Raw genomic sequence first — 14,067 nt, 5'->3', positions numbered from 1 at the left:
GGCTCCCCGAGATCTGTTGTGCAGACTCATATCACACCAGCAGAGTAGTGGCCATATTGGCAAATCTCATTTCCTTTTGCTGGTAGCCTTCTCCAAAATATTCCTGATCCATTTTAGAGAATAAATGGGCTTCCCAACTCTAAGAGTTGAATTTTATAAAACTGGATAAAACATGAACTTCTGTTTTTAAGTCATTGGAAATCATTTCAAATATATATAAAACCAAGTTACTAATGGGTAAAACATGAGCAGAAAGGATAATTTGATATTCCAGGGGAAAAAGAAAACCTATAGGAAAAAGAAATCCAGAGTCAGAGAAGTTGTCCCCACCATCCTTTCTTTTCATCTTTTAAACAACACTTTAGATAGAGTATGAACTTCTATAGTTGAACCTAAACAAAGCAGAAAGAGAACAGGAAATCAATGGGAATCACATCTTAATGCAAGCTTTTCTAAAATAGTCCAGGAATCCATAAGGGACTCATTCTGTATTGGATTTCTGAAAGGACTGGAGCTTGTAACCCAGTGATTGATGCCTGCCATCAGCAGCACGTCTCTCTCTTTCCTCCCTCGAAGCCTTAGACAAATTTTACCTCATTCAACAAGCTCTCAATCATATTCATGAAGTCAAGACTTCAAATGGGGCATGATTACAACTTTAGTAGCTATTTCAGGTAGAACAGATTCGCGTGATGTGGGATCTTGGCAGCAGTTTAATTACTTTAGGGTAATGATGCGAATCTCGGTGAGGGGCCAATTTTGGCTTTGCTGACTATTATGTGCATTAATTAATATGATGAAGTGTGCTGCTTTCCATGCTCTTTTATTCCCCTCTCTACTAATATTTGAGGCTTGTCTTCTGAAACTGTTGTTGGTCGAAGTTTCCTTCCTCTCATTTTCACTGGTAGAGCAGGATGTATTCCTGAGAACGTGAGTGCATTTATTTATTGATAAAGAATGTTTTCTGGAAATCTTTTGCAGAGATGAAGCAAAGGAGGGACTTTCTTGCCTTCTTCATCCTCTTTCTCTTGTCTCCTTCTTCCTCTGCTTGCTTATTGTTTGTTTTTGCTGCCTTTCCCACTTTATGTGATTTTATGGCTCTTGAAAATGAATTCACCTTTCTAAGCTTTGATGCAATTACTTAAGCCAATGATAACTTATGTTTGTTGATTGTTTACTGTGTACCAGGAATTGCTATAAGTGCTTTACTTGTCTTATTTCATTATATCAAAATAACAACATTATTCCTGTTTTATGGAAAAAACAGCAAAGTGTGTACAAATTAGGTAACTTGCCTGAGATAACATCCCTGGTAAGTGATGGCACCAGCATTTTAATCCAGGTGGTCTGTGACTCCATAGTGGGAACTTTCCCATTTAATTCCTACTGAAATCTGGTAGTCGTGAAAATAATTTCTCTATCTCAAAATAACAGTCATTCCCACAACTAGTATTCTGCACATATATATGTTGGAGGTTTATTATATGCCAGGACCATGCTGGAGGCTCAGGGGTATAAGAGAATACTAGACAGAGTGCTTGCTCTCAAGGTAGCCATGCCCTTCTGGAGGTCATTCGTGTAGCATGTCATAACTGCTGTGGAGTGACGTCACACAGAATGTCTTCTAAAATTATAGCAGCATGGTCATTCAGAGGGATTTGACATGTGCTGGGAAAATCTCAGTTAATCCTAGCCACTGGATTACTTCCTGCAAAAATGTAAAAAAAAAAAAAAATACAAGGGATAGGATGTAGATGACAACCTCGCTATCATCAAATATTAGCAATAGCCAACTATATCCCTTGGTCAAATGAAAAGCCTACAGATTTTGGAATCACACAGACCCAGCTTCAAATTTCTGCTGGGTCCCTTATTAGCTGTGTGACTTTGAGCAATTTACCCAAACTCTCTGAACTTCTGTTTGTTCACCTATACAAGCAGAAGAAAAAGATCTCACCTCTTCTAGTTGCTTAGACCAGGGATTCGCCAACTTTTTCTTAAAGGAACAGATAGTAAATATTTTGGTTTTTGCTTGGCTGTATAGGCTCTGTCACAGCTACTCAGCTCTGCCATTGTAGCACAAAAGCAGCCATGGACAACATGCAGATGAGTAGGTGTGGCATTATTACAATACATTTTATTTACAAAACCAGACAGGCTGGATCTGACCCATGGGATATAGCTTGCTACCTTTTGGTTTAGAGCATTAAATGAGATATTGAAAGGAAAAAGTGTATAAAGGTCTCTGATCTACTGTAGACAATGATTGTTCATTTTCCTTCCTTCCTGCAATTTATTTAATTAGACTGATAGGACACAAAGGTGGACACTCTACCTCTCTCTTGAAGTGCTCATGGTCCACTTGAGGTGACAAGATATAGAAAATATAGAGAGTAATACACTTTTGCAAGTGCCAAATGCGAAGGAAACAGAGTGAACGGCAGAGTCATAGGAATTGAGTGAATGGAATAACGACCATAAGAAAAATGGTTAATGTCAAATGAAGGAAGAAGAAAGGATTTCCAGGCAGGAAATCTAAAGAAGGAGGAATGCTATAAGTAGTTAGAGGAAGCTCAGTGAAACTATTTGTCTGGAGAAGAGAGGGTGTATATAAGAAGAGTGAATGGCAATCAAGCTTAGCCACAGCAGTGTAGGGCTGAGTGATGGGTTCAGGAGTTTACATCTTGATCTGTAGATATCATTCAATGTGCTACTGGGTTTTTTTTTTTAATAACATAGTAGGCACTCATCAGATAATTGTTGGGTGAATAAAGTCATCTGGAAGTGATTTATGGGATGGTTGGGCAGAAAATGGCAGCTGAAAGATCAGGGATTGATGGCAACTAGCATCAGCCAGAAAGGACAGATCAAAAAGACACTGCACAGGAAGAATGGACATGACCCAGTAACCAAACTGCAGGCAAGAGGGAGGTACTATATAGAGATGATGCTGAGGTTTAAATCTGGTGACCAGAAAAATACTATTGTTGTTGATTATCTTAGTCTGTTTGTGCTGCTGTAACAAAATGCTTTAGATTGAGTAATGTATAAACAATGGAGATGTATTTCTCAGAGTTCTAGAGGCTGGAAAGTCCAAGATCAAGGTGCTGGCATGTTTGGTGTCTGGTGAGAGCCTGGTCTTTGCTTCCAAGATGACACCTCAAATGCTGTGTCCTCTGGAGGAGACAAATGCTGTGTCCTCATATAGCAGAAGGTATATGAGGTACTTATTCCATCCTTGAGGGTAGAGCCCCTATAACCTGCCTCCTAAAGGCCCCATTTCCTGATACTGTTGCATTGGGTCTCAAATTTTGGAGGGTCACAGACATTCAAACCATAGCAGTGATATAATGAAGGGTGTCACGGAAGTTGCTTTCTGGAGGAAACATTACAAATTTAGTCTTAAGCACTTGAATTTAGCATACCTGAGAACATCCAGGTGAACAAATTTGGTATGATAAGGTAGGCTCAAGAAAGAGATTGAGCATGGAAGCAGACAGAGATTAGACATCAGCCTCATAAACGGATGTCTCAGGAGAATGACTGAAGTCTTGATTCTGGCTGAGATTTGCGGACCAAAATGAGGATCTTGTGTCGAGACTGACTCAGTGACAGGGCTCTCCTTAGAAACCTCAAAGCAGCTCTCTAATTCATCCTAAGTATTATGGCAATAGAAGTGCTGAGAAATTGATAAGGTCTCATAACATGTTTTAAAATGTAAAAACAAAGATCAGAAAAAGAATTAAATAAACCTTGGGATTCTGATGTCCAGAACCGTCTTCCATACAATCCAGAAGAAAAGCCTCAGAATGTGAACTCCTACACTATGTAAATTCAATAAGTACACCTAGTAAGAGTAATCCCATTGAGTTCAGATAATAGAAGACATGGAAATGTGTCACCAATAATAATCATAAGACATTCTCAGCACTTTTCCACATGTGGCTAACGCAATCATAACTTAGCAAAGCTACTTTCAGATATACATCAGAATTTCTTGCTCTGTTAAATACAATTTTATGGCAAATCTTTTGCAATTTTCAATAGATCTCAACTTGATCTACTTCTCTTGTCTTGCACCTGCCTCAATTTTCTTGCTACTACTGTGAGGGAGGGGTTTTCTGTTGACTAGAAAGGGAAGTGATTTATGGGGCAAGAGGCAAAAGAAATGGATCCATCTAGAATAGCATTTTTATTATATTTTCTCTAAGTAAAATCAGAAAACTGTTACCCAGAGGTATTATGATCTGGCCATGTTAGACTCCAGCTCCTTATTAAATTGGTGAGTTATGGAGAAGGTGTTACCATCCGAGACAGTTTTTCATTTTCGTCTTTCCATTTAACTATTTCTTGAAGCTGATGAAATACATAGTACTTAGGTTATTGCAGGGTCAGGCAGAACGTTCTTTTTAGGGAATACATAGCAGTGAAAGAATTGTAGGATTTTTAAATCTGGCATCAGAGCTTGGCAAGTTTAAACATCCAAAAACATCCCTTTTTGTGTAAAAAGGGAAAACTCTAATCCAGAGAGACTAAATGACTAAAAGACTCAGAGTGTGCTGCAGAACCAGGTCTGGAACCCTAGAATCCTGGCTCCCAGTCCGTTACTTCAAGTACAACTTTTTCGAAATTCACATTGGCCACGAGTAGATTCTCCTTCCATTGTAAAAGAGCATTTAGGCCACAACCAGCAGAAACACTAAGCTGCCGATTTCTGTTCATGATGCGTCCACCTGGTCATCTTCTGACATTTTCCAAGGGCTGGGACAGCTTTGGAAAGCCCTGTTAGAGACCAGGTTATTTTAAGGTGGAAAACAGAAATCCTAAAAAGCCCAGGCATATACTTGCTTTTTTTTTTTTTTTTTTTTTTTTAATGGAGAAGCTGAGGGACCCAAGAGCCAGCCCTGAAACCTTGATATTTAAAGCAGTTGTCTGTAGACATAATACCCTAGTTTGATCAAAGGGTTGGGCCACACAATCCCAGGGAACAGGAAGGCTGACAAGGGGGGAAGGGCCCTTTGTCCAGGAGGCCTGGAATCCGGATGCCCTGGTTGGCGAGGCTGCTGGCCCTGCTGGGGAGGGGCTGAGGCCCAGTCTATGCCCGCGTTCCTCCCCCTGCCCTTCTGGTCCCTACACTGAGAGATCAGACAGAGCCTGCTGTCTCCCCACACTCAGTATCTGATCAGTTTTCTTCAGGACATTAATAAAATGAATCTATAGGCTTTGCTTGTATTTTTGTTGTTGTTTAATTCTACAATCAGAAAAGGTAAGCACCCCAGTTTAACTCTTTGAGTCTTTCTCCCAGCATGTGGCTTCCTAAACAAATATTTCATCTATCGTTCAGGTCACATTCTTGACCTTGTTGTTTCAGGTGCCTGATAATTCTGGGCTAATGACGGCCTGGCGAGCACGTTGGTTCCCCCACCACCACCCCACCACTCTCCAGTGCACCCTGCCCTCCCTCCTGTCCCCAGCAGCTTTCCCTGGGCTCATTTTAGTACCAGCCCCTTCCCCATTAATTGCTTTTCCTTCGGTAGCCTTTCTTTTCTTTATCAAAGTGCTTGCTCTGAAGGCTTCTACTTCAGATTCCTGCCCCCAGTGCCCTTGGCCTGTTCATTATTTAATTTTGCTTTCAGTCCCCTGCCTGTCAGGCAATGTCTGCACCCTGTGATTGTTTTCATTTTTGAAAGTCTCCAAAGATCACAGCCTTGTAGACACACTTTAAAAATATTATAATGATTTCTGGTGTGCGCACGCGTGTACACGCACACAGACATGAATGAATTAGAAAAATGTGCTTTGGACCGACCTAGGTTCTCTGAAGCACAGAATTTGACTGATAAAAGGGCTTTATGCACTGCCCCCTGGCCCTGCTGACAACACTACCCCTAATGCCTCTCCTTCTGCTTTATGAGTTGCTGAGATGGGTGTTTTTCTGTAGTCAGTCAAACAAATACATAAAGTAACTTCTAGAGCTTTTCGGCATTGTACTAAGCTGGCTGAAGGCATTTTAGAGATCCAATCTTGCTGAGGGGCTTGCATTAACATGGAAGGAAGCAACACTCTCTGATAGCAACTGACATAGGTCTAGTCATGCAGTAAAGCATTCAAAATAATCCGGAGAAAGGGTAACAGATCGAGCCTTTGGGGATGAATGATAACTGGATTCAGGAAAGTTCTTCTGATTTTTCTTTTTGACCCCTAAACGTCAGATGTGTTCAACATTATTACGGACTGAGTTCTATTCCCCCAAAATGTGTATGTTGAATCCCTAACCCCCAGTGTCTCAGAATGTGACTGTTTTTTGAGACAGGGTCTTTAAAGAGGTAATTAAGTTAAAATGAGTTCACTGGGGTAAGCCCTAATCTGATCTCTGGTGTCCTTGTAAGAAGAGATTTGGACAGACCTGCAAGGAGGGAGATGTATGTGGGGCACAGGGAGCAGAAGGCCATCCTCAAGCTAAAAAGAGTGGTCTTAGAAGAAGCCAGCCCTGGCAGCACTTTGAGTTGGGACTTGCAGCCTCTGGAACTATGAGAGAAGAAACTCCTATTGTTTAAGCACCCACTGTGTGGTACCTTGTTATGGAAGCCCTGGCAAACTAATGCAAACATCGGTATTTCAAGATGGTGTTAGTTCTAGATGAACAATGAAATTAATCACAGAGCAATTTCTGGGCAGGAAGTGGCTTTTCTGCCCCTGTTTGGGTTTCCAGGCACTTAATTCTTATTTGCGGACAAGCAGTAGATATTCAGCATGTGTTTATTGGGCACTTCCTTCATGCCACACGCTGCACTAGGCCAAGCAACAGAGATTCAGAAGCCTATGGCTGTATCTAGAGTCCAGATGAGATGAGCTTCTCAAACTGGCAGTGGATGCATGTTGATGACGGTTCCCCAAGGTAATCTTCTTCCTAGGACCTAATGGCCATGTTGTAATAAGACTTTTCTTCTTTAGTTGCTAATTTGATTCCTAAAGTATTAGGTACATGTAAAATAGCCTTTTTGTGTAGATCAAAATGTTGAATTAAATGCAATATGGAACAGAAAATGATTAGAATGCATTCTGGAACAGAAAAAAGATATTAATGAAAAAACCGATGAAATCCAAATGAAGTAGTTCAGCTAATAATAATGTGCCAATGTGAATTTCTTAGTTTTTCTACATGTATCTTGGTTATTTCTATGGTTTGAATGTGTCCCCTAAAGTTCATGTGTTGGAAACATAATCCCCAATGCAACAAAGTTAGGAGATAAGACTTAATAGGTGATTAGGTCACGACAGCTCTGACATCATGAATAGATTAATTTCATTACATGGAAGTGGGTTTGTTTGGTGAGAGTAGGTTTGTTAGAAAAGTGAGTTCAGGCCAGGCATGGTGTTTCACACCTATAATCCCAGCATTTTGGGAGTCTGAGGCAGGAGGATTGCTTGAGGCCAGGAGTTCCAGATCAGCCTGGATAACATAGTGAGACCCTGTCTCTACAAAGAACGAAAAAAAATTAGTCAGGTATGGCCTGGCACCGTGGCTCATGCCTGTAATCCCAGCACGTTGGGAGGCCAAGGTGGGTGGATCACGAGGTCAGGAGATTGAGACCATCCTGGCTAACACGGTGAAACCCGGTCTCTACTAAAAACACAAAAAATTAGCCGGGTGTGGTGGTGGGCGCCTGTAGTCCCAGCTACTCGGGAGGCTGAGGCAGGAGAATGGCATGAACGCAGGAGACAGAGCTTGCAGTGAGCCGAGATCATGTCACTGCACTCTAGCCTGGGTGATAGAGAAAAACCCTTCCTCAAAATGAACAAACAACAACAACAACAAAAGTGAGTTGAGCCTCCTCCTGCTCTTGCACTTTCACTCTCATGCTGTCTTGCCCTTCTACCTTCAGCCATGTGATGACACTGCACAAAAGCCCTCACCAGATGCTGGACCCATGCTCTTAGACTTCCCAGCCTTCACAACCCTGAACAAAATAGACTTCTATTGTTTATAAATTACCCAGCTTCATGTGTTCTTTTATAGCAATATGAAATGAACTAAGACCATTGTGTAACATGCTAACATTAGGGGAAATGAGGTAAAAGATGTGTATAGGAATTCTCTCTATAATCTTGGCAACTTTTCTATGAATTCCAAAAATCTAAAATTATTCCAAATTAAAAGCTTATTTTAAAAATGTTGGAATATTGGCGATTTTACATGGCTTAACCTAATAGGTAAAATCCAGATATTTAAATATAAAGCTGTCTGATACAACCTTTTAATGATACAGTAGTAGGATTTATGTTTGAAATTGAAGTATGTTTTCCTTATAGATGTTTTTAGATAATTGATAGGCTTTTGTACCTTGGCAGCCCAGCTCCTGGATGCCTAGCCAGTATATGTACAAGTAAGAACTAACTGAGCTTTCAAAGATAAAGGACCCTATAGCCATTACTGAGGGACAGCTTGGGCTGAGACCAGCTAATGGAGCTTCTTTCACTTCTTTGACTAGGCAAGGATAAGCTGGGGACTATGTGCTGATGGAATGACTGATTCCTTCTGTTCTTGGGCATCAGTGGACACCCAACACAGCCTCATTCAAGGAGAACTGGTCACTTTCAACTCCTTTCTTCAGCAGAGGATCCTTCCTTCCTTCCCTCCCCACTGGGTCATGTGAGGACAGAAGGATTGTGCTATATCAGTTTTGGGGGATTCCACATTCTCATTTAGAGGAAAAAGAACCTGCTTCCAGTTTTACCCCTGGAACTAGAAAATTAATCTTTGATCAGACCAATCCCATTTAAGAAATTTGTTTTGTTTGGCTGGCAAGTATTTGAAATTTTAAATAATTATTTGCCACACTTCTAAATTGGGAAGTTTTACAAAAATATCTGGATATATGACTTCTCTTAAACCATCAGAAGTTCCAGCAACAGTTCTAAGTATATTCCACATAGAAAAGACTGATTGGAGCTGAACAGTTGTTGTGCCCTTTCAAAGGGTCATATGCTCTGTGTTTACTCATAGTCTCCACACAGCCCTCTCCGCTCACTCATCCAGCCACTTTCAGCATTTGAGTTTACAACCCCCAGTCTAGATCAGTGTTTTTCAAACTATAGGTCATCCCATTGTGGGAGTCATTAAATCAGTGTCTTGGATAACCAGTATGATATGGTTTGGCTCTCTGTCCCCACCCAAATCTCATCTTATAGTTCCCATAATTCCCACGTGTTGTGAGAGGGACCCAGTGGGAAATGGCTGAATCATGGGGGTGGGTCTTTCCCATGCTGTTCTAGTGATAGTGAATGGGTCTCATGAGATCTGATGATTTTAAAAATGGGAGTTTCCCTGCGCAAGCCCTCTTTTTGCCTGCTGCCATCCATGTAAGATGTGACTTGCTCCTCCTTGCCATCTGCCGTGATTGTGAGGCCTCCCCAGCCACATGGAACTGTGAGCTCTCCATTAAACCTCTATCCTTTGTAAATTGCCCAGTCTCGGGTATGTCTTTATCAGCAGCATGAAAACAAACTAATACAGTAAATTGGTACCACTAGAGTCAGGCACTGCTGAAAAGATACCCAAAAATGTGGAAGCAACTTTGAAAGGTAACAGGAAGAGGTTGGAACAGTTTGGAGGGCGCGTAAGAAGATGGGAAAACACAGGAAAGTTTGGAACTCCCTAGACACTTGTTGAATGACTTTGACCAAAATGCTGATAATAATATAGACAATGAAATCCAGGCTGAGGTGGTCTCAGGTGGAGATGAAGAACTTGTTGGGAACTGGAGCAAAGGTGACTCTTGCTATGTTTTAGCAAAGAGACTGGCAGCATTTTGTCCCTGCCCAAGAGATTTGTGGAACTTTGAACTTGAGAGAGATGATTTAGGGTACATGGCAGAAGAAATTTCTAAGCAGCAAAACATTCAAGAGGTGACTTGGGTGCCATTAAAGGCATTCAGTTTTATAAGGGAAGCAGAGTGTAAAAGTCTAAAAAATTTGCAGCCTGACAATGTGATAGAAAAGAAAATCCCATTTTCTGAGAAGAAATTCAAGCTGGCTGCAGAAATTTGCATAAGTAATGAGGAGCCAAATGTTAATCCATAAGACAATGGGGAAAATGTCTCCAGGGCATGTCAGAGATCTTCACAGCAGCCTCTCCCATCACAGGCCTGGAGGTCTAGGAGAAAAAAGTGGTTTCCTGGGCTGGGCCCAGGGTCCTTGTGCTGTGTGTGGTCTAGGGACTTAGTTCCCTGCATCCCAGCCTCTCCAGCCATGGCTGAAAGGGGCCAATGTAGAGCTCCATCCACGGCTTCAGAAGGTGCAAGCCCCAAGCCTTGGCAGCTTCCATGTGGTGTTGAGCCTGGGAGTGCACAAAAGTCAAGAATTGGAGTTTGGGAACCTCCACCTAGATTTCAGAGGAGGTAGGGAAATGTCCAGGAGAAGTTTGCCACAGGGCGGGTCTCTCATGGAGAACCTCTGCTAGGGCAGTGCAGAAGGGAAATGTGGGGTCGGAGCCCCCACACAGAGTCCCTACTGGGGCACCACCTAGTGGGGCTGTGAAAAGAGGGCCACCATCCTCCAGATCCCAGAATGGTAGATCCACTGACAGGTTGTACTCTGCACCTGGAAAAGCCACAGACACTCAATGCCAGCCTGTGAAGGCAGCTAGGAGGGAGGCTGTACCCTGCAAAGCCACAGGGGTGGAGCTGCCCAAGACCATGAGAACCCACCTCTTGAATCATCATGACCTGGATGTGAGACATGGAGTCAAAGGAGATCATTTTGGAGCTTTAAGATTTGACTGCTCCACTGGATTTCAGACTTGCATGGGGCCTGTAGCCCCTTTGTTTTGGCCAATTTCTCCCATTTGGAATGGCTGTATTTACCTGATGCCTATACCCCATTATATCTAGGAAGAAACTAACTTACTTTTGATTTTACAGGCTCATAGATGGAAGGGACTTGCCTTGTCTTGGATGAGACTTTGGACTGTGGACTTTTGAGTTAATGATGAAATGAGTTGAGACTTCGGGGGACTGTTGGGAAGGCATGATTGGTTTCAAAATGTGAAGAGTTGAGATTTGGGAGGGGCCAGGGCAGAATGATATGGTTTGGCTCTGTGTCCTCACCCAGATCTCATCTTGTAGCTCCCATAATTCCCAAATATTGTGGGAGAGACCTGGTGGGAGTTGGTTGAATCATGGCGGCAGGTTTTTCTTGTGCTGTTCTAGTGATAGTGAATGGGTCTCACGAGATATAATGGTTTAAAAAACAGGAGTGTCTCTGCATAAACACTCTTTTTGCCTGCTGCCATCCACATAAGATGTGACTTGCTCCTCCTGGCCTTCCACCATGATTGTGAGGCTTCCTCAGCCTTGTGGAACTGTGAGTTCTCCATTAAACTTCTATCCTTTGAAAATTGCCCAGTCTCGGATATGTCTTTATCAGCAGCATGAAAACAGACTAATACACAATACTACAAAGAGGAAAAGAAAGAGAAAGAAGAAGTGAAGAAAGATGAGGAAGAGGAGGAAATAGAAAATATCAGAATATTTACATGTAGTAAGGACTAGTGTTATTTTGTGAAACCTCTGTTTCAATTGTGTTTATGTGTGCTTGTACTGGGTTACCATATAAACTAAGTTTCTTTCTATGAGTTGCAATAAAATAATTTTGAAAGCCAAGACTAATAAAAATTTAAATAATCCAACTCTTGTTAATCATTTAGTTTGGCATCTTTGCTTACTGTTTTTGTTTTGTTTTTCTTTAAATTACCTGAGAGGGTAGGTATTTGTTGTATATGCATATCCATGGAATTCACACATGCGTGATGTGGATCTCCATGAATGCCCGTAGAAACTTTTTGGTGTTTCTCAGACCTATGATTCATCCAATTACCAAGTTGTATAGTTATCCATTAGCAAGTTAGATCATACTAAATAATAATCAGATGTATTTACATAGGTTATTTAGGGCAACTAATAGTCTAAAATAGACCAGCACTGTCTCACAGAACTTTCTGTGATGATGGAAACATTCTATATCTGCACATTCAATATGGTAGCCTCAAGCCACATGTAGCTCTTTAGTACTTGAAATGTACCTAGTGTGACTGAGGACCTGTATTGTAAATTTAAATTTAATTAGTTAAAATTTAAGTAGCTGTACATGAGCAGTGGCTACCATGTTGGACAGCATAACTCTAAATTCTAGAATTAGTATTTTGAAAAACAGATGGCTATATTTCTTGTTTTCCAGACTAGACAGTCAATTGGTCTGATAGAATTATTTTATTCTGGCATCGCTCACTGAAGAGTGAGAAGAGCTAACATTCCATTGGCTGGGCAGGGCTTACTTTTCTTGGTCCAGAGTATTACTAGAGACAAATGACCCAACTTCTACATGTAGAATTTTAAGTTCTTATCCCCACTTATTTCTGGTTTTTCATATTGAAAATTGCTTGATGCAAGTTATTTGAACTATATGGATTAAAAGCTATAATAATTATTTGATAATTATAATAGTAACTATAATAACAATAATACGGATCTATGTCCTCACCCAATCTCATGCTGAAATGTAATCTCAGGTGCTGGAGGTGGAGTCTGTGGGAGGTGATTGGATCATGGGGGCAGAGTTCTCACGAATGGTTTGGCACCCTCCCCCCTTGGTATTGTATAGTGAGTGAGTTCTCATGAGACCTGGTTGTTTGAAAGTACGTAGCACCTTCCCCCTCGCTGTCTTCCTCCTGCTCCCAGTCACGTGAAGTGCTGGCTCCTGCTTTGCCTTCTGCCATGATTGTTACCTGAGGCCTCCCCAGAAGCAGAGGACATGGTGCCAGGCTTTCTGTACAGCCTGAAAAACTGTGAGCCAATTACACCTCTTTTCTTTATAAATTACCCTATCTCAGGTATTTCTTTATAGAAGTGCAAGAAGAGACTAACACTAGAAATAATAAAAGTAATGAAAATAGCAGCAAGAATAGCAGACACTTAATAAGTGCTTACTATGTACCCAGCACTGTGATAAGCCCTTTGTATACCTTATTCCACTTATTCTTCACAATCATCCTATGAGATAAGAGAGATATTATCCTATATGAGGAAACTGATGTTTGTAAAGGTTAAGTAACTTACAAGGTCACTCAGGTAGTGACTGAATGAGCCAGAATGTGAATCCCATTCTGTCAGGTTTAAAGTCCCTTGTGGTAACCACTATGGCATTCCTACAGGGTGTGAATCAGTTAGTTTTTCCATCAATCCATTGTTTCCTTGATAAAAACATGTCCAAGATGAATTACTAGTGACTGCGCTAGGACTAGGGCCTGGGTCCTGTGATTCTGATGTGGGTACTCCCCACTGCCACACTCTTATTATAAATTTATCATTAATGCTATTTCGGCCACATTTGCAGGTGCATGCTGGTGGGCTTCATTGGGACCAAGAGTTTCACTCTTGTTGCCCAGGCTGGAGTGCAATGGCGCGATCTCCGCCTCCCAGGTTCAAGTGCTTCTCCTGCCTCATCCTTCCGAGTAGCTGGGATTACAGGCATGCGCCACCATGCCCGGCTAATTTTGTATTTTTAGTAGAGACAGGGTTTCTCCATGTTAGTCAGGCGGTCTCAAACTCCTGACCTCAGGTGATCCACCCGCCTCAGCCTCCCAAAGTGCTGGGATTAGAGGCGTGAGCCACCGTGCCAGATCAAAGTGGGGAATTTTTAAAAACAGAGAAATTACAAAAATGAAAACAGACATTGACAGAAGAGAAGTTAGAAGTAAGTAAGCAATTTGCAATTTTGAAGCGACCCAGCAAGAAAGGCAGGCGAAGTAGAGAAACAAAAAGCAAAACCCACGGTGGGCCTAAAAGCAAACTTCCTTTCTCTTTGTAACTGACGTTGGGTGCAGAGCTGAACTCTACAGTCCAGAGGCCATCTGAGGCCATCAATCCAAGCCCTGCACTGCTGCCATGACCAGTGGGACTGACACATGTGGGACAATGGCAGAATGCAGCCTGAGAAACGAGGGGTTCCTGTCTCAGCAAGGGCTGCATTTCCTCTGCTTTCTTTTCACAAAGCTGCTACTCACATCAA

The 14,067-nt window shown here is 41.8% G+C and overlaps 1 long non-coding RNA gene across 1 annotated transcript in view, besides 1 other annotated feature; it reads left to right on the top strand.

The window, feature by feature from the left end:
* Positions 1-9,143, top strand: part of LINC01258 (long intergenic non-protein coding RNA 1258) — a 102,519-nt gene extending 93,376 nt beyond the window's left edge. The window contains exon 8 of the long non-coding RNA NR_110951.1: positions 8,493-9,143. This is a non-coding gene — a long non-coding RNA (long intergenic non-protein coding RNA 1258). The remainder of the gene's footprint in view (positions 1-8,492) is intronic.
* Positions 4,587-5,119: an enhancer, noted in NCBI's record as "NANOG-H3K4me1 hESC enhancer chr4:38426307-38426839 (GRCh37/hg19 assembly coordinates)". NCBI's record gives its function as "activates a minimal SCP1, AML or CMV promoter by ChIP-STARR-seq in primed H9 embryonic stem cells {active_cell/tissue: H9 hESC(primed)}" and the evidence as "EXISTENCE:reporter gene assay evidence [ECO:0000049][PMID:30033119]".
* Positions 9,144-14,067: the final 4,924 nt, after the last annotated feature.

Source organism: Homo sapiens, chromosome 4 (assembly GCF_000001405.40).
Source record: "Homo sapiens chromosome 4, GRCh38.p14 Primary Assembly".
Classification (NCBI taxonomy): domain Eukaryota; kingdom Metazoa; phylum Chordata; class Mammalia; order Primates; family Hominidae; genus Homo; species Homo sapiens.
The sequence above is the reverse complement of the archived record's forward strand: the minus strand, read 5'-3'. Positions and strand labels throughout refer to the sequence as shown.